Genomic DNA, 22,908 nt, shown 5'->3' on the forward strand with positions numbered 1-22,908 from the left:
AGAGCTGGTTAAAAACTACAGCTCAGGTCGGGCATGATGGCTCAAGCCTGTAATCCCAGCACTTCAGGAGGCTGAGGTGGGCAGATCACAAGGTCAGGAGATCAAGACCATCCTGGCTAACACGGTGAAACGCTGTCTCTACTAAAAATACAAAAAAAAATTAGCCGGTCACGGTGGCAGGCGCCTGTAGTCCCAGCTACTCGGGAGGCTGAGGCAGGAGAATGGCGCAAACCTGGGAGGTGGAGCTTGCAGTGAGCCGATATCACGCCACTGCACTCCAGCCTGGGCGACACAGCAAGACTCCGTCTAGAGAAAAAAAAAAAAAAAAAAAACACTACAGCTCAAAGGCCAAATCCAGCTCGCTACCTATGTTTGCAAATAAAGCTTTATTGGAACACGTGATCCACACTTGTGTGTATGTGTTGTCTATGGCTGCTCTCACAATACAGTGGCAGAGCTGAGTAACTGCAACACAGATTCTGTCTTGCAAAACTGAAATATTTATCTGACCCTCTATAGAAAGTTTGCCAACTCCTGCCCTAGAGTATTTGTGAAGCCACCCTTCTGAGATGCCCCCCATCTTAACCCCTTCCTCCCCCAAATGACAGCTAGGCCCAGAGACAGCCCAACCCACCCTACCCCCATAGCCCCAAGCCCAACATTTACAAAGGCCAGCCTTGGAGAGGGAAAGTGCAGCTTTGTCCAGCCTGAGCCCTATCCCGCCTCCCTTCCTGACCTCTTACTCACCACCTCCATAGAATACCACCATGCCAGCAACCATAAGCACTGGGTGCCAGTTGAACATGTAGATGCTGCCATTCCAGGCAAAGCCACCACGCCAGTACTGCATCCAGTAGATAGTGAAGAGGATGCACATAGAGCCCAGGGACCCCAGCAGCAGGCAGGACAAGTAGAACCGTCCAGACACCATTCTGATCACGCACTCCTAGAAGAAGGAGAAGTCACAAATCTCCACTGGCTCAGATGCACCCAGTTCTCTGGCTAAAGGAGGTAACACTGATTTAGCTCTTGGCCTGTGGGATGGAATCTTTTTGCTTCAGTTCCCCTGCATCAGCCTGGGCACCACCCCCCGCCCGAGGCCTCAATGCCTGGGTGGGCCTGATCTTCAGTCACAATGACTGAGGCCCCACCCCAGCACCTGGCAGTGCCCAGACAGAGCAGCAAACTCAAGGCTATGGCTGGCCCTGGCGAAGGCCAGATGCCAAGGCCCAAGACCCAGAGTCCTGGGATTCCTCTCCCCTCACAGGACCAGAAGGTAAAGAATTACCACCCCATACCCCCCAGGAAAAAAGGGACAGGAATCAAAATCCAGGCTAAATTACGCAAACACCCAGGCCTTGGGTTCTAAGATAAGAAGGCAAAAATTACAGTCTGAAAAGAGCAAACACCCCACTATTACCCTAGACAGGAAGGAGTCAGAAAAGTTCTTCCCCATAGAGTAAGCTCTATGGGGCTAATCTTCACTGGAGAGGTAACCAGGCCTTCACTCCACTGCCCACACTCCACACCTTGAACCAGCTGATGCCCCTCAGCTGTCTCCAGCCCTGAGACTTCTGCTTTCTCTTCCTCTGGGGAAAGTCCAGAGAAAAAAAGAGGAAGCAACAACTCATGGTCCAGAAAGCAAGAGATTTATTTTGAGATTTCCACAAGTCCTTGATAAACCCAGAAACCAACTCTGGTTTCAGGCATGGCAAATGCTTAAAGCCCTGAGCAGTTGCTCTTAAACGCTAGGTGAGTGGGCAAAGCCACAGGACTGGCCCTGCTTTCAGCTAATATGTAGGCAGCACGGGCCCAGGCATCAAGGCAGTCACCCTGTCCCACGGACTCACACCAAGAAGGCAACAGTGTGGCTTCCTGCATTGAGGTCCCTCACTCGGAAGCAGCTAATAGCCAATAGCCCCCACGGAGGTAAAACATTTGACTGCTCACCTTTAGCCCTAATGATAGGCTCAGAGAACTGGCCTGGGCTCCAATTCCTGCGAAATGGGCACCTTGAGCAAATCACTTAACATTTGCAGGACTCACCTGCAAGAAAGGCGTGGCAGTAAGAATACTTGAACAGTAAGAATAACGAACACCAGCTACGAGCACCAGAGCCTTACACACAAGATCCCATTTACTCCTCTTAACCCTGGGAGGCATATTATTCCGTGAGGAAACTAAGGCTGAGAGAGATAAGTAATTAGCATGAGGACCCAGTGAGAGTGGGTGGGGAGTTCCAAATCCTGTGTGTTTAGCTTCAAGGCCCACGCTGCTTCCTTGACCACAGGTTGTCAGATCAAGTGAGAAAATGAATGTAGCACACTGTAGAAGTCAAGTATTAGAATTCTTCGCTGGGCGCGATGGCTTATGCCTGTAATCCTGCACTTTGGGAGGCTGAGGCAGGTGGATCACCTGAGGTCAGGAGTTCGAGACCAGACTGATCAACATGGTGAAACCCCGGTCTCTACTAAAAATACAAAATTAGCCAGGAGTGGTGGTGGGCGCCTGTAATCAATCCCAGCTACTCAGGAGGCTGAGGCAGGAGAATTGCTTGAACCAGGGAGGCAGAGGTTGCAATGAGCCAAGATTGTGCCATTGCACTCCACCCTGAGCAATGAGAGCGAAACTTCATCTCAAAAAAAAAAAAAAAAAAAGGCTGGGTGAGGTGGCTCACACCTGTAATCCTAGCACTTTGGGAGGCCGAGGCGGGCAGATCATAAGGTCAAGAGATCGAGACCATCCTGGCCAATATGGTGAACCCCCGCCCCCATCTCTACTAAAAATAAAAAATTAGCTGGGCATGGTGGCGCGCGCCTTTAGTCCCAGCTAGCTACTCGGTAGGCTGAGGCAGGAAAATCGCTTGAACCCGGGAGGTGGAGGTTGCAGTGAGCTGCGATCACGCCACTGCACTCCAGCCTGGCGACTGAGCGAGACTCCATCTAAAAATATATATATATACATAGAATTCTTAGTCATTGCTGTCATGCACTTCATCCTAACTACTAACATGCAGCTCATGTTCCTTGTGCCTGCCCAGGCCTCTCAGTGGCCCTCAGCCATGCCATGCCAGCTCTCCCCATGCTAGGGGTCCACCTACTTAGGTAAAGATGCACAAGGTGACCCAAGTTGGCAGTAATCTCTGAGAAAGGAAGGTCCAGCCAGGCTCGGTGGCTCAAGCCTGTAATCCCAGCACTTTGGGAGGCCGACGCGGATGGATCACCTGAGGTCAGGAGTTTGAGACCAGCCTGGCCAACATGGTGAAACCACGTCTCTACTGAAAATGCAAAAATGTGCTGGGTGTGGTGGCGCACGCCTGTAATTCCAGCTACCAGGGAGGCTGAGGCAGGAGAATTGCTTGAACCCTGGAGGTGGACGTTGCAGTGAGCCGAGATCGCGCCACTGCTCTCCAGCCTGGGGGACAGAGTGAGACTCTGTCTCAAAAAAAAAAAAAAAAAAGAAAAGAAGGTCCAAGGGCTGCAGGGAAAAAGCTTCCATGAAGCTGGCAGGAGAAAATCATGCCACCAGCCTCCTAGAAGATTTGTGACTCAACTACTTAACTCAGAGATTTGCTACCCAGCCTCAGAACTGCCTCCTCAATTCCTCCAAGGGCAGAGGACGTTTCAGATCACCAGATATTCACCTAAAACACTCTCCATCCCTCAGTGAAATGTAAGAGATCTTGATCAGCAGGCTCACTCATCTGACAATATCTACTTCCACAACTGTTTTTTTTTTCTTTGTAAGAGGAAAAAGTAAATGCAGTCCGAAAGGATCTGTAGCCACACCCTAGAAAAGGTCCTGGTTTACTGCTCTGTGACAGACTTAGAATAGACCCTGGGCACACTTTCCTGACAGAGAGCTGCAAAGTTATATTGCCCTGCTCACAATACACAGATAAGCCCTCCTACTTCCTGAAATAGAGCAAAGCAGGAGAAAAGGAAGAATGCAGTGAAGGACCAGCACAGTGATTCATGCCTGTAATCCCAGCACTTTGGGAGGCCCAGGCAGGTGGGTTACCTGAAGTCAGGGGTTCGAGACCAGCCTGGCCAACATGGCAAAATCCCGTCTCTACTAAAAATACAAAAATTAGCCAGGCACGGTGGCATGCGCTTGTAGTCCAAGGTACTCGGGAAGCTGAGGCACGAGAATTGCTTGAACCCAGGAGGCAGAGGTTGCAGTGAGCCAAGATCACGCCACTGCACTGCAGCCTGTGCAACAGAGATAGACTCTGTCTATAAATAAATACCCAGGAGTTCCAGACCAGCCTGAGCAACAGTGAGCCCTCATCTCTTAAAAAAAAAAAAAAATTAGCTGGGCGTGATGGCATCCACCTGTAGTCTCAGCTACTCAGGAGGCTGAGGTGGGAGGATGGCTTGAGCCCAGGAGAAGGCTGAAGTGAGCCGAGATCGCACCACTGCACTCTAGCCTGGGCGACAGAGCTAGACTCTGTCTCAAAAACAAAACAAAACAAAAAAACCGTGAAAACTGCAATGCAAATGCTTGAAAATATCCTCTCATTTGTTCTAAGGGCAGGCTGGGCTGTGATCCCAGGGTGTGCTCACTTTGCAGAGCCCCATTCTAAGGGAGCAGTCAGCAAGCTCTTCTGTAAAGGTCCAGGTAGTAAATATTCTAGGCTTTGTAGAGCACATGGTCTGTCACAACTATGTCATCAACTCTGCCCATGCAAGAGCAGCCACATAAACATCTTAACAAATGAGCACCACGGCTGTGTTCCAGTAATATTTATTTATGGACACTGAAGTCTGAGTTTCACATAATTTTCACGTCACAAGATATTATTAACTTCTTGCGAAAAAGGATTCTCCCGGCTGAGCTAAAACAGGTCACATCCAGGGGTAAGAAATGCTAGTTCCCATCCAGCCCTTAGTCTTAGAAAAAGGCTCTACGCAGGCTGGGCGCGGTAGCTCACGCCTGTAATCCCAGCACTTTGGGAAGCCGAGGCGGGCGGATCACATGAGGTCAGGAGTTCGAGACCAGCCTGACCAACATGGAGAAACCCCGTCTCTACTAAAAATACAAAAATTAGCCGGGCGCGGTAGCGGGCGCCTGTAATCCCAGCTACTTGGGAGGCTGAGGCAGGGGAATCGCTTGAACCCGGGAGGCGGAGGTTGCAGTGAGCCGAGATCGTGCCACTGCATTCCAGCCTGGGCGACAGAGTGAGACTCTGTCTCAGAAAAAAAAAAAAGAAAGAAAAAGAAAAAGGCTCTACTCCAAACTCTTGCAGTGTTACTTTTATAATTTAGAACTACAAATAAATGAAGGGGTAGAAAATCAGTTTGTTGCTCTCCCTCCCCGATGGACTGGGGGACTTCAAGAATCTTGAGGACCAGATTTAGGATACAAGCCCTAAACCCTCATCTTACAAATCAAAAACACTGTGACACTGGGGCCCAAAACAAGAAAATGACTTAGCCAAGGTAAGTGGCCGAGCTGGTACAGGAATTCGGGTCCACTCCCTCTCAGCTCTGAGGATTCCTTATTCTCAAAGGTAGCTTCTGTTAAAGTCGGAACATGAGGAGTGAAGGGCTCAATATTCCTGCCAAGGAGGTAGGTGAACAAGTTACCCCTTAGCACCGGAATAATTATAGACCCCGACTTCAGGCTGTGCCTAGGTCCGGCTCAGGTGTCCAAAGAACCGTTCCAGGCACCCGAGGGGTGATCCCTGACTCCTCTGCTGGGTGCTCGTGCCAGCTAACAATGGGTGAAAATTGGGGTGAGGAGCTCCAGGTGCTTTCTGCGTCCTCTGAAGAGCTTTCGTGCCTTTATAACCACCGCGTTGGAAGGAAGAGCGCGGAGAAAGGTGCCCACTTTCTAAAAGAGAAAATTGAGGCCGAGCAAGGGGATCGCGACAGTGCGAAGCGAGATAGCAGCGGAACCAGCATTCGAACCCAGGTCCCTGAACTCCCAGCCCCGGGATCCTTCTCACCCCTAACCACAGTGGGACGAAGTGAGGCCGGGATCTCCGGAACCCGCCTCTCGCTACCAGGCGCCGGAGCTGCCGCTCCCGAGGTTCCTAGGAGATGCAGAAGACACTGCCCTGAATGCCTACAGCCGGCTGGCAATGCCGCCCCAGAGCAGAGCGGCGGGTGCCGCCTCGCCTTCTTATAGGCTCGCAGCACTTCCAGTCGCGCGCGAGGCCTCCTGGGAAGTGAAGTCCGGAGACCAGGGGTGGCCGGCTCCCAGCGCGCCAAGCTGCTAACCCCCTAACTCCCGTTCCTCCTCGGCGTTTCTTCTCCAAGTCCGAAGTCAGGGTCCAGGACTGCTGCGATGCATCAGCCCCGCCTCTCATCCCCCATCCAGAGGAGGCGGAAATGTTCAGGTGAACGCGAAGCCTCCCACTACGAGCCGGCCCTCAGCAAGGCCGTGCGCAGTGTGGGCGGGAGCCCTAAGTCAGCTAGCGGCGACGCTGGGAGGGCCCGGAGCAGGCCGGGCCCCGAACAGCGAAAGCTCCAACATGGCGGCCAGACTGGCCATAGAGCGGGAAGAGAAAGCCGGGGACTAGCAGGCCGCACGGCGCAGACGGGGCCCGCCTCCTCCATTTACTTCCGGAATTTAAAGCCGGCTTCCGGAAGCCGGGACGATGTCCGCATGACAACCGACGTTGGAGTTTGGAGGTGAGAGTGATTGACGAGGAGTGGGTTAAGTGACCAGAAGTCAGAATTTTTGGTGCTGTTGTTTTGGGCTTGGGTTTTATGCTTTGTTGTTGTTTGCCAAGGAAGCCTCGTTTTTAAGTGGATTGGGAAGCGTGAGGAATACTGCCCTAGGTACAAAGGGAAGGCGGCAGGTAGCGGTGGACGAATTAAAGAGCTTCATGAGCTTGTGAGTCTCCACTGCCCTAAACTGGAGGGGATCGTCGTACGTAGAGACAGGCATGGGCGTTTCTGCATAACGGATCCTCAAAACAGCCCTGGATGGTGGCCTATGAGTAGTGGTTAAGAGCACGGGTTTGGCGTCACAGTTATGAAGCCGGGTTCTGCTGACTTGAGACCTGGAGGAATGCCTTGAGCTCTGACTTCTGTGTCCTTTCCTGTAGAATAGGAATAATTCCCACCTTGCAGACTTGTAGGGAGGATTAAAGGAAACGATCTTGGTTGACAAGTTTATCGTGGTGTGAGTACCTAGGTAGTAGCTATCAGTGTTATTTAATGCGGCCGGGCGCAGTGGCTCACGCCTGTAATCCCAGCACTTTGGGAGGCCGAGGCGGGAGGATCACGAGGTCAGGAGATCGAGACCATCCTGGCTAACATGGTGAAACCCCGTCTCTACTAAAAATACAAAAAATTAGCCAGGCGTGGTGGCACGCACCTGTAGTCCCAGCTACTTGGGAGGCTGAGGCAGGAGAATCGCTTGAACCCGAGAGGCGGAGGTTGCAGTGAGCCAAGATCATGCCACTGCACTCCAGCCTGGCGACAGAGCGAGACACTCTCTCTCTCTCTAAAATTTAATGAATGAGGAAACCGCGAACATATGTCCAATAAGGTGGGACTTCACCAGCTGAGGTGGAGGAGGTGCCTTAACCTTCCGGAGCCTCTGTGTAAAATGGGGATAATATACATTGTAATGGCTACTTCTCAAGATGGTTGTAGGATTACGTAAGGTTAGAAATATGAAAAGAGCTTATAAATTGCAAAACATTTTACCGATGCTAATTTAATCGCTAACACTCCAGAGCATTTTGAAATTTCTTTATAGATTTGGCACAGCAGCGGGTCATAGGACACCCCCAGAGCAACTTGTGGGTCTTGGAATAGATGAAAAGAAACAACTGCCACTGTGTTGCAACCATAACCCTAAAGATAAAGCTTTCCAGGAGACCCCTGTTTCCTCTCTGCTTTTTCTGCCTAGGGCACTTCACACTTCTTTGCTGGCATTTTTCCTGCCTAGTTAAATACTAGTCTATCAATTATGTAAGAGACAGCTTAGTCCAGTAGTTAAGAGCACAGACTGTGGACCCGTGCAGCCTGCATCTGAATACTAGCTCTGCCACTTACTAACGACGTGACCTTGGACAAATTATTTTACCTCTCTTGGCCTCAAATTTCTCATCTGTAAAATGGGGAAGGTAATAATGTATTATGTCATCTACCTTGTGAGGTTTAAATAATGTTAGTGCTTGTAGAACACTCCCTGGCACATTGTAAGCAATGTATAAGGATTTGCTGCCATTTTTGTTACCACCGCTACTACATGACCAGGCAGTCATTCTTCTCAGTAATACTACTAGATTCCTTTGGTTAGAGACAGCTCTGCATTGAGAAGATTCCAGGCATGGAGAAAAGCTGGTGAAGGTCCTAGAATAAATGACTTCTTGGGGGTTTTTGTTGTTGGTTTTGTTCACTAAAGTATCCCATGCAACTGGAGTGGTACCTGGCACACAGTAGGTCCTCAGTAAATGTTTATGGTATTAATACATTTCTAACCTTGCTTATCTTTTTGCTCCAACAGGTGCTTGCCTTAGAGCAAGGGAAACAGCTCTCATTCAAAGGAACTAGAAGCCTCTCCCTCAGTGGTAGGGAGACAGCCAGGAGCGGTTTTCTGGGAACTGTGGGATGTGCCCTTGGGGGCCCGAGAAAACAGAAGGAAGATGCTCCAGACCAGTAACTACAGCCTGGTGCTCTCTCTGCAGTTCCTGCTGCTGTCCTATGACCTCTTTGTCAATTCCTTCTCAGAACTGCTCCAAAAGACTCCTGTCATCCAGCTTGTGCTCTTCATGTGCGTGCAGTAAGGCACTCTGGAAAGCTGAACCCACGCAATTCAAAGGCCCTGACAGTGGTGATTTAGTGTCTTAAAGTTATTAGTAGGCTGGGTACGGTGGCTCACACCCATAATCCCAGGACTTTGGGAAGCCAAGGCAGGAGGATCTTTTGAGGCTGGGAGTTTGAGGACCAGCCTAGGCAACATAGCAAGACCCTGTCTCTACCTACTAAAAATTTTTAAAATTAGCTAGGCATGGTGCCACACACCTGTAATCGCAGTGATTCAGGATGCTGACGTGGAAGGATTGCTTAAGCCCAGGAGTTCAAGGCTACAGTGAGCCATGATCATGCCACTGCACTCCAACCAGGTGACAAAGACCCTATCTCAAAAAAAAAAAAAAAAAGCCAGGTGTGGTGGTTCACGCTTGTAATCCCAACACTTTGGGAGGCCAAGGTGGGCAGATCACCTGAGGTCGGGAATTCGGGACCAGTCTGACCAACATGGAGAAACCCCATCTCTACTAAAAATACAAAAATTAGATGGGCGTGGTGGTGCATGCCTGTAATCCCAGCTTCTTGGGAGGCTGAGGCAGGAGAATCACTTGAACCTGGGAGGCAGAGGTTGCAGTGAGCCATGATCATGCCACTGCACTCCAGCCTGGGCGACAGAACAAGACTCCATCTCAAAAAAAAAAAAATGTTTAAGAGTGTCAGATAGCCTGGGCAACATAGTGAGACCTTGTTTCTATTAAAACATAATTTTATTTTTTTTTTTTTGAGATGGAGTCTAGCTGTGTCGCCAGGCTGGAGTACAGTGGCACAATCTCAGCTCACTGCAACCTCCGCCCCCTGGGTTCAAGCAATTCTCCTGCCTCAGCCTCCCTAGTAGCTGGGATTATAGGTGTGCGCTACCACACCCCACTATGTATTTACCACACCCAGCTACTTTTTGTATTTTTAGTAGAGACGGGGTTTTGCCATGTTGGCCAGGCTGGTCTCAAACTCTTGACCTCAAGTGATCTGCCCACCTCGGCCTCCCAAAGTGCTGGGATTACAGGCATGAGCTAATTTTTTTTTTAATTAGCTGAGTATAGTGGCACACACCTGTGGTCACAGCTACTCAGGAGGGTGAGGCGGGAGGATCACTTGAGCCCAGGAAGTTGCTGCAGTGAGCTGTGATCATACCACTGCACTCCAGTCTGGGCAACAGAATGAAACCCTGTCTCGAAAAATAAGGAGTATCAGAGAATCTTCTATAGGACTATGTATGGAAGAAATTTTAAAAATAAAAAAGAGTATTAGAGCAGGAAAGCCTTGACTATGGACTGCAAACCCAACTGATGGGGCCAGTGGGTAATTTTAGGTAATTTTAGCTTCATGTCATTCAGGTCCCAAAACCCATGTTATCTCTGTGAGGGTTTAAGATGTCAGATGCCTATCTCACAACAAAGGACAGGCCTCGTGGTGTCCCTCAGGACATAGTACCTGCTCTTGGGTCCTCACACAGGCCTTCATTGGTTGTACTTTTTTTTATGTCTACAGCATCCAGGATATTGCAGTCCTCTTCAACATCATCATCATTTTCCTCATGTTCTTCAACACCTTCGTCTTCCAGGCTGGCCTGGTCAACCTCCTATTCCATAAGTTCAAAGGGACCATCATCCTGACAGCTGTGTACTTTGCCCTCAGCATCTCCCTTCATGTCTGGGTCATGGTAAGAGTGGCAGTCTGAATTCTTTTTTTAATTTTTATTTTAAATAGAGGTGGGGTCTTACTTTGTTACCAAGGCTGGTCTCAAACTCCTGAGCTCAAGCAATTCTCCTGCTTCTGCCTCCCAAGCTCAAGCAATTCTCCTGCTTCTGCCTCCCAAAGTGCTGGAATTACAGGCATGAGTCACTGTGCCCGGCCTGAACTCTGAATTCCTGAATCGCTAAAGGGCTAGGAATAACTTTTCTTTTCTTTTCTTTTCTTTTTTTTTTTTTTTGAGACAGAGTCTCGCTCTGTCGCCTGGCTGGAGTGCAGTGGCGTGATCTCAGCTCACTGCAACCTCCGCTTCCTGGGTTCAAGCAATTCTCCTCCCTCAGTCTCCTGAGTACCTGGGATTACAGGCACGCACCACCACGCCCAGCTAATTTTTGTGTTTTTAGTAGAGACTGGGTTTCACCATGTTGGCCGGGATGGTCTCAATCTCTTGACCTCGTGATCCTCCTGCCTCGGCCTCTGAAGTGCTAGGATTACAGGCGTGAGCTACTGCGCCCGGCCACTGGGATATCTTTTCTCTGGGAACCCAGCTTCATTCTTTGACATCTCACACAATCCTTCGTAGAGAACAGGTGAAATGAAAGTGGTTTGGGTTGGAGCCCTGGGCATGTGAGAGTTTCATAAGGTACTCTTGACCAACCTTATGTGTTGAAAAACAGCCTTGTCCAAGAGTCAGGGGACTCTTCCAGAACATTCAATTCACCTTTGCCCCAAACAGGCCTACCAGGGCTAAAACAGGTAGTTGAATGTGTCTCATCATTAGCTATTTGGGCAGGTGGATGTTGATACAGGTTATTCTTAGGCATCAGTGCCCCATGGCTAATGCTGTAGGCAGTGGATGTTTTTGGAAGTAGCCAAGCAGGATTGCTGCTTGCCCTTGAGTGCTCCATGCCGTCTGCCAAGCTCCCATCACTTTAACTAGGAGAACCGGCCTCCAGGATCCCTCCCTTTGGTTCTAACATAGGCCTCAGATCAGATCCAGTGTCTGTGGTTTCAGATTTCTTCTGCTTCACAAATTCTTCCAGCTCTTTGAGTATCTTGTATATTTCTCATGTACTCAATTCAATTGAACTCTAAAACCTCAGGGTTCTCTAGTTGTCACTTCATTATTAAAGCCACTTTCACACCTGAACCCCCTGTTAGGTTGTGCTTGTGATTCCACAGAAAGAAGTAGAGGTCCCAGGAAAGAAGCAAAGCAACACCAGAGTCTCCGGGTGCTTCCTGAAGAGGATTCTGTGCCCTGGTTCCTGGAGCCAAAATAGGTCCTGGCTTTGTACTATAAAAGCCGTTAATCTCATTAAACCCTGAGTACACCAAAGTCTTTATCTGACAGGAGCTGAGCCAGCGATTTTTCAAGGCAAGACAGTGACCAGCTGAACTCCTGAGATAATGAATATATCATTTCTCCTTGGCAAAGGTTATGGAATTAAAGAGAATAAATAACTTAGTTCATACTTCCTCCCTCAAAGTTAAAAGATATTCCCTTTGCAGCGAAAAATGGAGCTTTGAGGCTCCTTCGAGAAACGCTCCTTGGGGTTGTAGAAAGGAGGAAGAGGTTAGCATGATTTTAAAGCAACTGGCATCTCTGCAGCTAACCAAGTTGGAGACATTAGGGCTTCTTGTGGCCATTAACTTTTGTGTATCTCACATCTCCTTCAGAACTTACGCTGGAAAAACTCCAACAGCTTCATATGGACAGATGGACTTCAAATGCTGTTTGTATTCCAGAGACTAGGTAAGGACCAGAGCAAGGTCAGGCCTCTCTCAGGTCCCACATGTGTCTCTTTCAGTGAGGGCCTTGATGCTGGCTTCCCAGACCTGTCCCAGCTGGCTTGGGATGGTTGTGACAGCCACACCAGGAACAGGAGGGATTACTGCCCCTGCCCTTGCTAGAAGACTATGGGAAATGAGGAGGCAGGGCTGCCCAGCCTCATTAGGTTCTGTTCTTTTTGTTTGTTTGTTTGTTTGTTTGTTTGTTTTTGAGACAGTCTTGCTCTGTCGCCCAGGCTGGAGTGCTGTGGCGCTATCTCAGGCTCACTGCAAGCTCCGCCTCCCGGGTTCACACCATTCTCCTGCCTCAGCCTCCGGAGTAGCTGGGACTACAGGCGCCCGCCACCACGCCCAGCTAATTTTTTGTGTATTTTTAGTAGAGACAGGGTTTCACCGTGTTAGCCAGGATGGTCTCGATCTCTGACCTCATGATCCGCCTGCCTCTGCCTCCTAAAGTGCTGGGATTACAGGCGTGAGCCACCACGCCTGGCCAGGTTCTGTTCTTAACCTGAAATGATACTCAGGAGCACCCCTGAGGCTTCTCTTCTGCTTCCTCCCCACAGCAGCAGTGTTGTACTGCTACTTCTATAAACGGACAGCCGTAAGACTAGGCGATCCTCACTTCTACCAGGACTCTTTGTGGCTGCGCAAGGAGTTCATGCAAGTTCGAAGGTGACCTCTTGTCACACTGATGGATACTTTTCCTTCCTGATAGAAGCCACATTTGCTGCTTTGCAGGGAGAGTTGGCCCTATGCATGGGCAAACAGCTGGACTTTCCAAGGAAGGTTCAGACTAGCTGTGTTCAGCATTCAAGAAGGAAGATCCTCCCTCTTGCACAATTAGAGTGTCCCCATCGGTCTCCAGTGCGGCATCCCTTCCTTGCCTTCTACCTCTGTTCCACCCCCTTTCCTTCCTTTCCTCTCTGTACCATTCATTCTCCCTGACCGGCCTTTCTTGCCGAGGGTTCTGTGGCTCTTACCCTTGTGAAGCTTTTCCTTTAGCCTGGGACAGAAGGACCTCCCAGCCCCCAAAGGATCTCCCAGTGACCAAAGGATGCGAAGAGTGATAGTTACGTGCTCCTGACTGATCACACCGCAGACATTTAGATTTTTATACCCAAGGCACTTTAAAAAAATGTTTTATAAATAGAGAATAAATTGAATTCTTGTTCCATAAATGGGGGAGTCTGTCTGTCTAGCTAGATCTCTTCATGTTAAGAGGCGTGCCAAGGTCCAGCTTAACATCTACTTGACCCAGAGGGAAGATGGAGCCACAGATGAAATACAGATCTTTGTTGAGATCCATTATGAGTACAAAGTATTTTAGCAGAAATTCAAGATGGAATCTGATGCTGCATCCCCCACTCCTGGAGCTCCAGATGTGTGTGCTCTGTTCAGACTCTCTTTCCTTATCAGAAGCCTTAACTGCCCTCAGAAGAATAAAAATATTCCCTTAGCCAGCTTTGGCAAAAGAAATTTTTAAAATTCTTATGTCCGTAGTATCAGTTTTCTATTGCCAGAATATTGTGTAACTCCACCACCAAAGTTCAGGGGCATACAGCAATCAACAGCTGCCTGGCTCTTTGTCTTGGGGTTCAGCTGATCAAGGCTGTGTGTGGGTGGTTTCATCTGGGCTCACTCTTGTGTCTGTCAGCTGCAGGTCAGCTAGGCAGCTGCGATGGCCTTGGGATCCACTGGCAGTTGGCTAGCCTTCATTGACCTCAGCTGGAGTGACTGTGGTTACTCAGCTCTAGTTTGCAGATTTACTTCCCACAGACTAGCCTGGATCTGCTCACACGCCAGTGGCAGAGCGGGAAAGTCCCAGTATGCAACCCCATTTCAAGCCTGTGCTTGTCTTGTGTCTCCTAGACTCCTGTTGATCAAGGCAAGTCACGCAACTAAGCCCAGAAACAAAGTGGCAAACGGTTACCAACCACAAGTTCTTAGACTCTCATTGCTATAGAAATTGACATGAGGCTAAAAGAATTTGCCGACAAGGCTTCATTGGAGCTTATGCCTGGGCATAAGAGACACAACACAAGTCAAAGAGAGAGTTCCCTGACTGACTCCAAACAAAGCCTGCAGGGATTTTTCTCTTAGGCAAAGCACTGGAATTGACCTCGGGTAGGGTAGGCAGGCTGGGCTGGACAAAGCACGTGAGGGTAGGGTGTGCAGGTCAGCATCTGGTTGTAAGGGTTATCTTGAATAATGGACCACCAGGTAGTCTAGCCAATGGCAGCAAATCTGTATTCTTTCCTGAGGAGGGACAGTCCACACACAATGTTGGTTTGATATTTTGGACCTCCTAAGGCCAGTTCCTGGAATTCTTTAAGTAAAAGGCCTGGTTAAACATTGTGAGAGCACAGAAGATGAATACAAAATGGCGATTTTCTTTGTATGACTAAAGCGTTGATGATAGTGGATACATCAGCAAGGTAGAGGGGTGGGTTTTGTGGTCAGTGGGGATGCATGAAAGGATGCTGTAGTGGGGGTGAGCTGAAGCCACACCCTGTCTCTACTCTGTCTCAAAAGCACTACAAATTTTCAAGGGCAAAGGCATGGATACAGAGAGAGTAAAGAATGGGGGCCATTAATTCACCCAGTCTCTCACACCAGAGAGCTGCTCTGTGAAACTTGTTCTTCAGAGATGCTTTGGCAGGGTCGCCAAGCTTTTTTTAAGAAGGGTCAGATAGTAAATATTCGAGGTCTTGAGGGTACAACCACTTAACCACGACACTGAAGCATGAAAGCTTCCATAGACTATAGGATACATAGGAAACGGGAAAGTGTGGGTGGTTTCAGCTGGGCTCGCTCATGTGTCAGCTGCAGGTCAGCTAGGCAGCTGTGATGGCCTTGGGATCCATTGGCAGTTGGCTAGCCTGCAGTGACCTCAGCTGGGGGCCCCCAAACATCTCAGGACCCCCAAACTCATTATGCCAAAGGGAAAGTTAAGCCTGGAGACTGAGTCACGCAACACCGCCCCCCTCTCCCAAATAAATGAATTTATTTTATTTTATTTTGAGATGGAGTCTAGCTCTGTCACCAGGCTGGTGTGCAGTGGTGCGATCTCAGCTCACTACAACTTCCGCCTCCTGGGTTCAAGTGATTCTCCTGCCTCAGCCTTCCCAGTAGCTGGGATTATAGGCACGTGCCGCCACGCCCAGCTAATTTTTGTATTTTTAGTAGAGATGGGACTTCACCATGTTGGCCAGGATGGTCTCGATCTCCTGACCTTGTGATCTGCCCCCCTCGGCCTCCCAAAGTGCTGGGATTACAGGACTGAGCCACCATTCCCAGCCCCAAATGAATTTCTGTTACTTCACAGCCTTTTGTCAAAGCATTATGCCTTAGGCCGACCCCACACCCCCAGGGAAAGGAAAAAAGCCTCAGGCATCCTTAGATGACTGCCCTCAGAAATTGTTCTGTGCTGGCTTTGAACCCTTTCAAGATGTCCTATAAAACAAGGACATGCCAATTCTTACTTCAGGTCTGCCTGCAATCTAAGTCTAGCTCCTAAAGTAAGAGTTTGTTAGATTTCACACTGATGATGCTTGTATTGATGAAAAAGAAAGCCGAACTCTAAAATACTTGAAGAGATGTATTATTCTGAGCCAATGTGAGGACAATAATCCATGACAAAGCCCCAGGAGGTCCTGAGAACACGTGCCCAAGATGGTTGGGTTACAGCTTGATTTTATGTATTTTAGGGGGACAGAAGTTACAATCAGAGACATAAATCAATAGACGCAAGGTGTACATTGATTTTGCCCAGAAAGGCAGGACATCTCAAAAGGGGAAGCCTTGCAAGTCAGGTGGATTTAAAGATTTCTGATTGGCAACTGGTTGAAAGGGTTAAATTTGGGCCGGGCACAGTGGCTCACACCTGTAATCCCAGCACTTTGGGAGGTCGAGGTGGGGTGGATCACGAGGTCAAGAGTTCAGGACCAGCCTGGCCAACGTGGTGAAACCCTGTCTCTGCTAAGAATACAAAAATTAGGCAGGTGTGGTGGCACATGCGTGTAATCCCAGCTACTCAGGAGGCTGAGGCAGGAGAATTGCTTGAACCTGGGAGGCAGAGGTTGCAGTGAGCCAAGATTGTACCACTGCCCTCCAGCCTGGGCAACAGAGCAAGACTCTGTCTCAGAAAAAAAAAAAAAAAAAGTTAAATTCTGCCTAAAGAATTGAAGTATTCAATTCTACCTAAAGTGTTGAAGTCCACAGAAATGTTTGCAGTTAAGATCATGAGAGGGTATAGAAGGCAAGGTTCTTGGTTTTGTTTTGTTTTTGAGATGGAGTCTCACTCTGTCTCCCAGGCTGGAGTGCAATGGCATGATCTCAGCTCACTGCAACCTCTGCCTCTTGGGTTTAAATGATTCTCCTGCCTCAGCCTCCTGAGTTGCTGGGATTGCAGGCGTGCACCACCGTGCCCAGCCGGAAAACATTCTTTCTCAAAAAAAAAAAAAAAAAAGCTGGGTGCGGTGGCTCACGCCTGTAATCCCAGCACTTTGGGAGGCGAAGGCGGGGGGATCGTGAAGTCAGGAGATCGAGACCATCCTGGCTAACATGGTGAAACCCCGTCTGTACTAAAAAAAATACAAAAAAATTAGGCAGGCGTGGTGGCAGGCACCTGTAGTCCCAGCTACTCGGGAGGCTGAGGCAGAAGAATGGTGTGAACCTGGGAGGTGGAGCTTGCAGTGAGCTGAGGTCACACCGTTGCACTCCAGTGTGGCAACAGAGTGAGACTCTGTTTCAAAAAAAAAAGAAAGAAAGAGGGATTGTTCAGGACAAACCAGCAAGTCCAAGCATTTCATTAACAGTCTGTGTAAGTTACAATAAGAGAATTTACTTTTTTTTTTTAAAGCCAAAAACTTTTATATAATCAAGTTGTCACATTAAGTTTGGTTTGCCTAGGAAAAAAACAGATTAAAAAAAAAGTTTTTAATTAAGGTTATTACATCTGTTTATCTGTCTATATGCGCTTTTAAAATACTTGCAACATTGAGTTACAGGGCTTTGATTCCTGGGTCTAAGAAGGACAGCAAGTCCTGCTAAATGTTAAACACTGACGGCAATTAAAGCCCCATCTTCACGCCCGGTAGAAGATGCCAATCAAAATAAACTTCATTCCTGAAGCACGGGGCTGGAAAATCAAAGCTATTCAACTCCTCAAGGCCCAGGGACTATCAAGAAAGAGGCGGACAGATGAGATTGTAAAGGCTGATTTTGAGAGATAAAATAAGTTCAGTTTCCCTATAAATTAATCATTAATGTCAAAGGCACACTGAAGCAAGACCAGCATATGGGCCTCTGTGTCAGATTAACAAGGTTTTCTTGAAGCAGTAACTGACTCCTTAATAAAGGTTATAAAAGTTATAAAGGCTTATGGAAGTTATATTTAATTGGCTTCATGCTGTTTTTATTAGGGCTTATTGTTTGGAAAATTAAGTCTCCTCTCTCAAAGAATGAAGGTTTTTACCTTTTTTTTTTTTTGAAATCCTTGAGTTATCACTGGTTAAATGAATGACTTATTTAACAATGGCCTGTGATAACCTTTGATATTTGAGAAATGTTCCAAAATCAAATTATAAATAATGTCTTTTTCAGACCTAATTAATCCTTTAACATATTATTAATAGGTTCCCTAAAGTCCAAAAATGACATATTTGGCTTACTTGGTATAAAAATTATACAGGAAACATTGTCAAATATAAAATGGTGTTTGGTTTTCTTTGGGCTGTATTTGTATAAATATGCTGTTGGATGTGTTCCAAAATTATGGGAGACTCCTATAATTATTTTTTATTTTTTATTTTTTTTTTTTTTAAAGATGGAGTCTCACTCTTGTCGTCCAGGCTGGAGTAGTGCAGTGGTGCAATCCTGGCTCACTGCAGCCTCCGCCTCCTGGTTCAAGCAATTCTCCTGCCTCAGGCTCCCAAGTAGCTGGGATTACAGATGCCTGCCAACACACCCGGCTAATTTTTGTATTTTTAGTAGAGATGGGGTTTCGCCATGTTGGCCATGCTGGTCTCAAACTCCTGAGCTCAGGTGATCCATCCACCTCGGCCTCCCAAAGTTCTGGGATTACAGGCCTGAGCCACTGCGCCCAGTCCTTTTTTTTTTTTTTTTTTTTTTGAGACAGAGTTTCGCTCTGTCACCTAGGCTGAAGTACATTGGCATGATCTCAGCTCACTGGAAACTCTGCGTCCCGGGTTCAAGCAATTCTCCTGCATCAGCCTCCCAAGTAGCTGGGATTACAGGCACCCACCACCACACCCAGCTAATTTTTGTATTTTTTTTAGTAAAGACAGGATTTCACCATGTTGGCTAGGCTGGTCTCAAACTCCTGAGCTTGGGTGATCCACCTGTCTCAGCCTCCCAAAGTACTGGGATTACAGGTACGAGCCACTGCCACTGGCCCTGGAAACTCCTATAATTCTGATATGACTTAATGTACATTATCGGTAATAATTATAACTGTTATGTTAAATTATTATGTGCCACAGAGGTAACAAATTTCCTTGTCAGTTTTGTCTTTGACTATAGCTGCCCTAAAACATTTTGTCATCCATGGACAATTGTTGTTTTGCTTTGGTCCTCTTTAGAAGGTGGTTTTATAATCAGCTATAAAACTCTAGGCCAGGCGTGGTGACTCACACCTGTAATTCCAGCACTTTGGGAGGCCAAGGTGGGCAGATCATGATGTCAGGAGATTGAGAACCATCCTGGCCAACAAGGTGAAACCCTGTCTCTACTAAAAATACAAAAATTAGCTGGGCGTGGTGGCAGGTGCCTGTAATCCCAGCTATTCAGCTACTCAGGAGGCTGAGGCAGGAGAATTGCTTGAACCTGGGAGGCGGAGGCTGCAGTGAGCTGAGATCGCGCCACTGAACTTCAGCCTGGTGTCAGAGCTAGACTCCATCTCAAAAACAAACAAACAAACAAACAAACTCTAATAGGTGCCCCTGAATAAGGTTTCTGATAACTTTAGAGACTGTCACATCAGAATAGAGGAAAAACTTTCACGACTCATGGAGAACTGAAATGTTCATGAAAAATGAAGCAGAACAGGAATTAATTGCATGGACTAAACTAATAGGTGTCTGAAGTGATCTTTTTAACTTTACACTTAAAATGTTGCTGATCCTGTGTTTTGTTTTTCAGAGTCAAGAAAACTTTTAAGCTATTTATAGCTTTAACAATTGAGTATACTCCTATGAACAAAATTTGCAGCATATTTGTTTTTCTCTGATTTCTCCAGAATTTGGAGATTATTTGTGAGTATTCTTTTTTTTTTTTTTTTTTTTTTGAGATGGAGTTTCACTCTTTTTGCCCAGGCTGGAGTGCAGTGGTGTGATCTCAGCTCACCACAACCTCTGACTCGCAGGTTCAAACCATTCTCCTGCCTCAGCCTCCCAAGTAGCTGGGACTACAGGCATGCGCCACCATGCCTGGCTAATTTTTGTATTTTTAGTAGAGATGGTGTTTCACTATGTTGGCCAGGCTGGTCTCAAACTCCTGACCTCAGGCGATCCACCCACCTCAGCCTCCCAAAGTGCTGGGATTACAGGCATTAGCCACTCCACCCAGCTGTGAGTATTCTTAACTTATGACAATACTGTTATTTGCATAAGTGCAATAAGAATCTGTTTTCGTTTGTAACAGGACACAATTGGAGAAACTGGTTATTTTACCAAGGCTTTTACTGGAATGGTGTGCTTTCCTTTAAGCAATCAAATTTGACTTTATGGAGCCAATAAAAGCCCCTTGGAAAAACTGGCCCCATACCTTTGTCCACACAGCCGCTGTCCAAGGTTTCTGACCTGTGGCAAGTAAAGCACGTCACTTTCTGACAGGCCCAGGAGTCCCAAGTTTATCTTGGAACCTCAAGAGGAGAGGATCATGCAATTCATAGGTATTTGATGGCACAAATCCACGGCTGGGCTCGGCTTTTAAAAAGTCTTATCTGAGATTCTTTCTATGGAACAAAGTTTCATCAAAGCCAATTTAAAAGCCTATGTAAAAAATAATTATTCGGCCAGATGCGGTAGCTCATGCCTATAATCCTAGCACTTTGAGAGGCCAAGGCAGGCGGATCACCTGAGGTCAGGAATTCAACACCAGCCTGGCCAACATGGTGAAACCCCATCCCTACTAAAAATACAAAATGTAGCCAGGTGTGATGGTGCATGCCTGTAATTCCAGCTACTCAGGAGGCTGAGGTGGGATAATCACTTGAACCCAGGAGGTGGAGGTTGCAGTGAACTGAGATCACGCCACTGCACTCCAGCCTGGATGACAGAGCAAGACTCTGTCTCAAAAAAAAAAATAATGGAAAACTGGAAAGAGAAAAATTGTTTCAAAAACTATAGCACACCTGTTGTTAGATTCTTGTCTTGCCTAATGTTTTTCAATTTTATTATTTTCTACAGTTTGGACCGAATTCTAATTTTTCTTGACTACAAGTCTTCAAAATAATGTTTTCATTTTTTTCTTCTTTTTTCCATTTTTTTCCAATTTGGAGTCACTGAAAACTAAGCTGTGCTTTCATAAAGCCCTGCAAACTGAATCTAGACAACTTCAGAAGAAAAATAACAGCAACCTATTTACATACATAAGCCACTTTCATACCTGCCTACCGATGTATGGACTTCAGAGTAATGTGGCTTATAGCAATTTTCCAGGATTGTTCTTTTGTTTGTTGTTGTTCTCCCTTCCTCCCCCTATTTTGTCTTTATGGGACATGACACTTCACAACCTTCTAAAAATGAGTTTTCCTAATAACTCAGGACCTACTCGTCTAGAAATAAACCATCCTAGCCATGAGAGATAAGATAAAACATGAGACAAGAGACTCATTTTTTTCTAAAATGCTTTCTCTAAAAGATTTTTAAAAAGAAAGGGGAGGAAATGTGAAAGGAAAATATCTTGGGCCCCCAAATCACTCAGCTAAAGGCAAAAGTCAAGCTGGGAACTGCTTGGGGCAAGCTTGCCTCCCATTCTAATCAAAGTCACTGCTCTGCTCACTGAGACAAATGCATATCTGATTGCCTCCTTTAGAGATGCATTCATGAGAAACTCAAAAGAATGCATCCATTTGTCTCTAGTTTACCTGTGACCTGTAAGCCCCTCCCTGCTTCGAGTTGTCCCGCCATATTGTTTCACTGAGCCAGACTAAGGCATACGTGACTATTCCTCTACCCTCCTCTTGCATGTAAATTGTGCCTTCAGTGAAAGGCTAATCAGAAACTCAAAAGAATGTAATTGGTTATCTCTTATCTACCTATGACCTGGAAGTCCACTCCCCTGCTTAGAGTAGTCCCACCTTTCTGGACCAAACCAATGTACATCTTACACATACTGATTGATGTCTCATGTCTCCCTAAAATGTATAAAACCAAACTGTGCTCTGACCACCTTGAGCACATATTGTCAGGACCTCCTGAGGCTGTGTTGTTACAGGCACGTGTTCTCAACCTGGCAAAATACACTTTCTAAATTAACTGAGACCTGTCTCAAATTTTCTGGGTTCACACTCACTTGGCGATCCAAGATTTATTTTCCTTTCACACTGGTCAGATGTGCCTGAATTCCAAAGGGAGGACAGTATAATGAAGCATGTCCAAACACCCCTTCCAATCATGACCTGAACTAGTCTTTCAGGTTTAGTTTGGAATCCCCTTGGCCGAGAGGAGGGTTCATTCAGTCTTTTGGGGGACTTAGAATATTACTTTTGGTCTACACCAGGGAGGACATGGAAGCTTCCTGGCTGTTTTCTATACATTGCCCTGTGCATGTCTTCCATCTGGCTATTCTAGAGTTCTTTCCTTTTATAATAAACCAGCAATCTAGTAAGTAAACTGTTTTCATGAGTTCTATGAGCCATCCTAACAAATTACTGAACCCAAGGAGAGGGTTGTGGGAATCTCTGATTCATAGCCAGTGGGTCAGAAGTACCAGAGAGCCAGACTTGCGATTAGCATTTGAAGTGGGGACATTCTTGTGGGACTGAGCCTTACTTAACCTGTGGGCTCTGATGCTAACTCCATGTAGTGTCAGAATTGAATCGAATTGTAGGACACCCAGCTGATGTTGAATAATTTGTCAGTGCGGGAAAACACCCACACATACCATCATACCTGGCTAATTTTAATTTTTTTGGGTAGAGATAGGGCCTTCCTGCTGTTGCCCAGGCTGGTATCAAACTTCTGACCTAAAGCAATCCTCCTGCCTGGGCTTCCCAAAGTGCTGGGATTACAAGCGTGAGCCACTGCACCTAGTGGAAAGAAGCACTTTGAAAGCGCTTAGAGACTTCCATTCTTCTAACTGACCAACACTCCAGTCAGGAACTAGAAAAGTCAGATAAAATACACACACAAAAAAAGTCATATATATATACGATTTTCAGTTTGAGGCTTTCTTTTTTTTTTTTTTTTTTTTGAGATGGAGTTTCACTCTTGCTGCCCAGGTTGGAGTGCAGTGTCGTGAGATATATATATATGTGTGTGTGTGTGTGTGTGTGTGTGTGTGTGTGTGTGTATATATAGTGTTTTTAGTAGAGATGGGGTTTCGCCATTTTGGCAAGGCTGGTCTCAAACTCCTGATCTCAGGTGATCTGCCTGCCTCGGCTTCCCCAGGTGTTGGGATTACAGGCGTGAGC

At 47.0% G+C, this 22,908-nt stretch overlaps 2 protein-coding genes across 19 annotated transcripts in view, besides 4 other annotated features; one reads left to right on the forward strand and one right to left on the reverse strand.

The window, feature by feature from the left end:
* CYB561A3 (cytochrome b561 family member A3) overlaps window positions 1-6,501 on the reverse strand; it is a 13,539-nt gene extending 7,038 nt beyond the window's left edge. For 4 of the 8 annotated variants that reach the window (XR_007062461.1, XM_011544821.3, NM_001161454.1 and 1 more), the window contains exons 1-4: window positions 5,951-6,501; window positions 1,951-2,046; window positions 1,421-1,589; window positions 748-946 (exon numbers count right to left, since the gene is read on the reverse strand). Coding sequence is in view for 7 of the 8 variants with exons in the window: in XM_011544821.3 (XP_011543123.1) it covers window positions 748-946; window positions 1,421-1,456 (235 nt within the window). In the remaining variant the exon portion in view is untranslated. Of the gene's footprint in view, window positions 1-747; window positions 1,590-1,950; window positions 2,047-3,643; window positions 5,561-5,950 lie in introns of those variants that run through there. The other 4 variants (NM_001300763.2, NM_153611.6, XM_047426555.1 and 1 more) reach the window with 3 other exon arrangements.
* Window positions 5,651-5,870: an enhancer, noted in NCBI's record as "active region_4795". NCBI's record gives its function as "activates an Ori minimal core promoter by ATAC-STARR-seq in GM12878 lymphoblastoid cells {active_cell/tissue: GM12878}" and the evidence as "EXISTENCE:reporter gene assay evidence [ECO:0000049][PMID:35858748]".
* Window positions 5,989-6,710: an enhancer, noted in NCBI's record as "H3K27ac hESC enhancer chr11:61129243-61129964 (GRCh37/hg19 assembly coordinates)". NCBI's record gives its function as "activates a minimal SCP1, AML or CMV promoter by ChIP-STARR-seq in naive H9 embryonic stem cells {active_cell/tissue: H9 hESC(naive)}" and the evidence as "EXISTENCE:reporter gene assay evidence [ECO:0000049][PMID:30033119]".
* Window positions 6,121-6,610: an enhancer, noted in NCBI's record as "active region_4796". NCBI's record gives its function as "activates an Ori minimal core promoter by ATAC-STARR-seq in GM12878 lymphoblastoid cells {active_cell/tissue: GM12878}" and the evidence as "EXISTENCE:reporter gene assay evidence [ECO:0000049][PMID:35858748]".
* On the forward strand, window positions 6,592-21,088 carry TMEM138 (transmembrane protein 138). Of its 11 annotated transcripts, NR_028473.2 has the most exons (6): window positions 6,592-6,638; window positions 8,470-8,533; window positions 8,651-8,736; window positions 10,263-10,434; window positions 12,141-12,216; window positions 12,815-13,727. NR_028473.2 is itself a non-coding variant. In NM_001441181.1 (5 exons), exons 2-5 carry the CDS (start codon window positions 8,609-8,611, stop codon window positions 19,439-19,441), a joined length of 405 nt encoding a protein of 134 aa, NP_001428110.1. In that variant the 5' UTR covers window positions 6,592-6,638; window positions 8,470-8,608; the 3' UTR covers window positions 19,442-21,088. The 11 variants fall into 11 exon arrangements, 8 of the variants coding, with proteins under 8 accessions (NP_001428110.1, NP_001397927.1, NP_001397926.1 ...); XR_007062486.1 differs by lacking the exon at window positions 12,815-13,727 and adding an exon at window positions 20,681-21,088 and having other exon boundaries at window positions 8,470-8,736; window positions 11,646-12,216; XR_949965.2 differs by lacking the exon at window positions 12,815-13,727 and adding an exon at window positions 17,261-17,624 and having other exon boundaries at window positions 8,470-8,736; window positions 11,646-12,216.
* Window positions 13,990-14,249: an enhancer, noted in NCBI's record as "active region_4797". NCBI's record gives its function as "activates an Ori minimal core promoter by ATAC-STARR-seq in GM12878 lymphoblastoid cells {active_cell/tissue: GM12878}" and the evidence as "EXISTENCE:reporter gene assay evidence [ECO:0000049][PMID:35858748]".

Source organism: Homo sapiens, chromosome 11 (genome assembly GCF_000001405.40).
Source record: "Homo sapiens chromosome 11, GRCh38.p14 Primary Assembly".
NCBI classification, from domain to species: domain Eukaryota; kingdom Metazoa; phylum Chordata; class Mammalia; order Primates; family Hominidae; genus Homo; species Homo sapiens.

Bases quoted from the DNA above. Each gene is read 5' to 3' on its own strand.
- TMEM138 (NM_001410999.1), top strand. From the start codon at position 8,609: ATGCTCCAGACCAGTAACTACAGCCTGGTGCTCTCTCTGCAGTTCCTG. The intron at 8,737-10,262 runs GTGCGTGCAGTA...TTATGTCTACAG, and splicing joins ATCCAGCTTGTGCTCTTCAT to CATCCAGGATATTGCAGTCC. The intron at 10,435-12,140 runs GTAAGAGTGGCA...CATCTCCTTCAG, and splicing joins CCCTTCATGTCTGGGTCATG to AACTTACGCTGGAAAAACTC.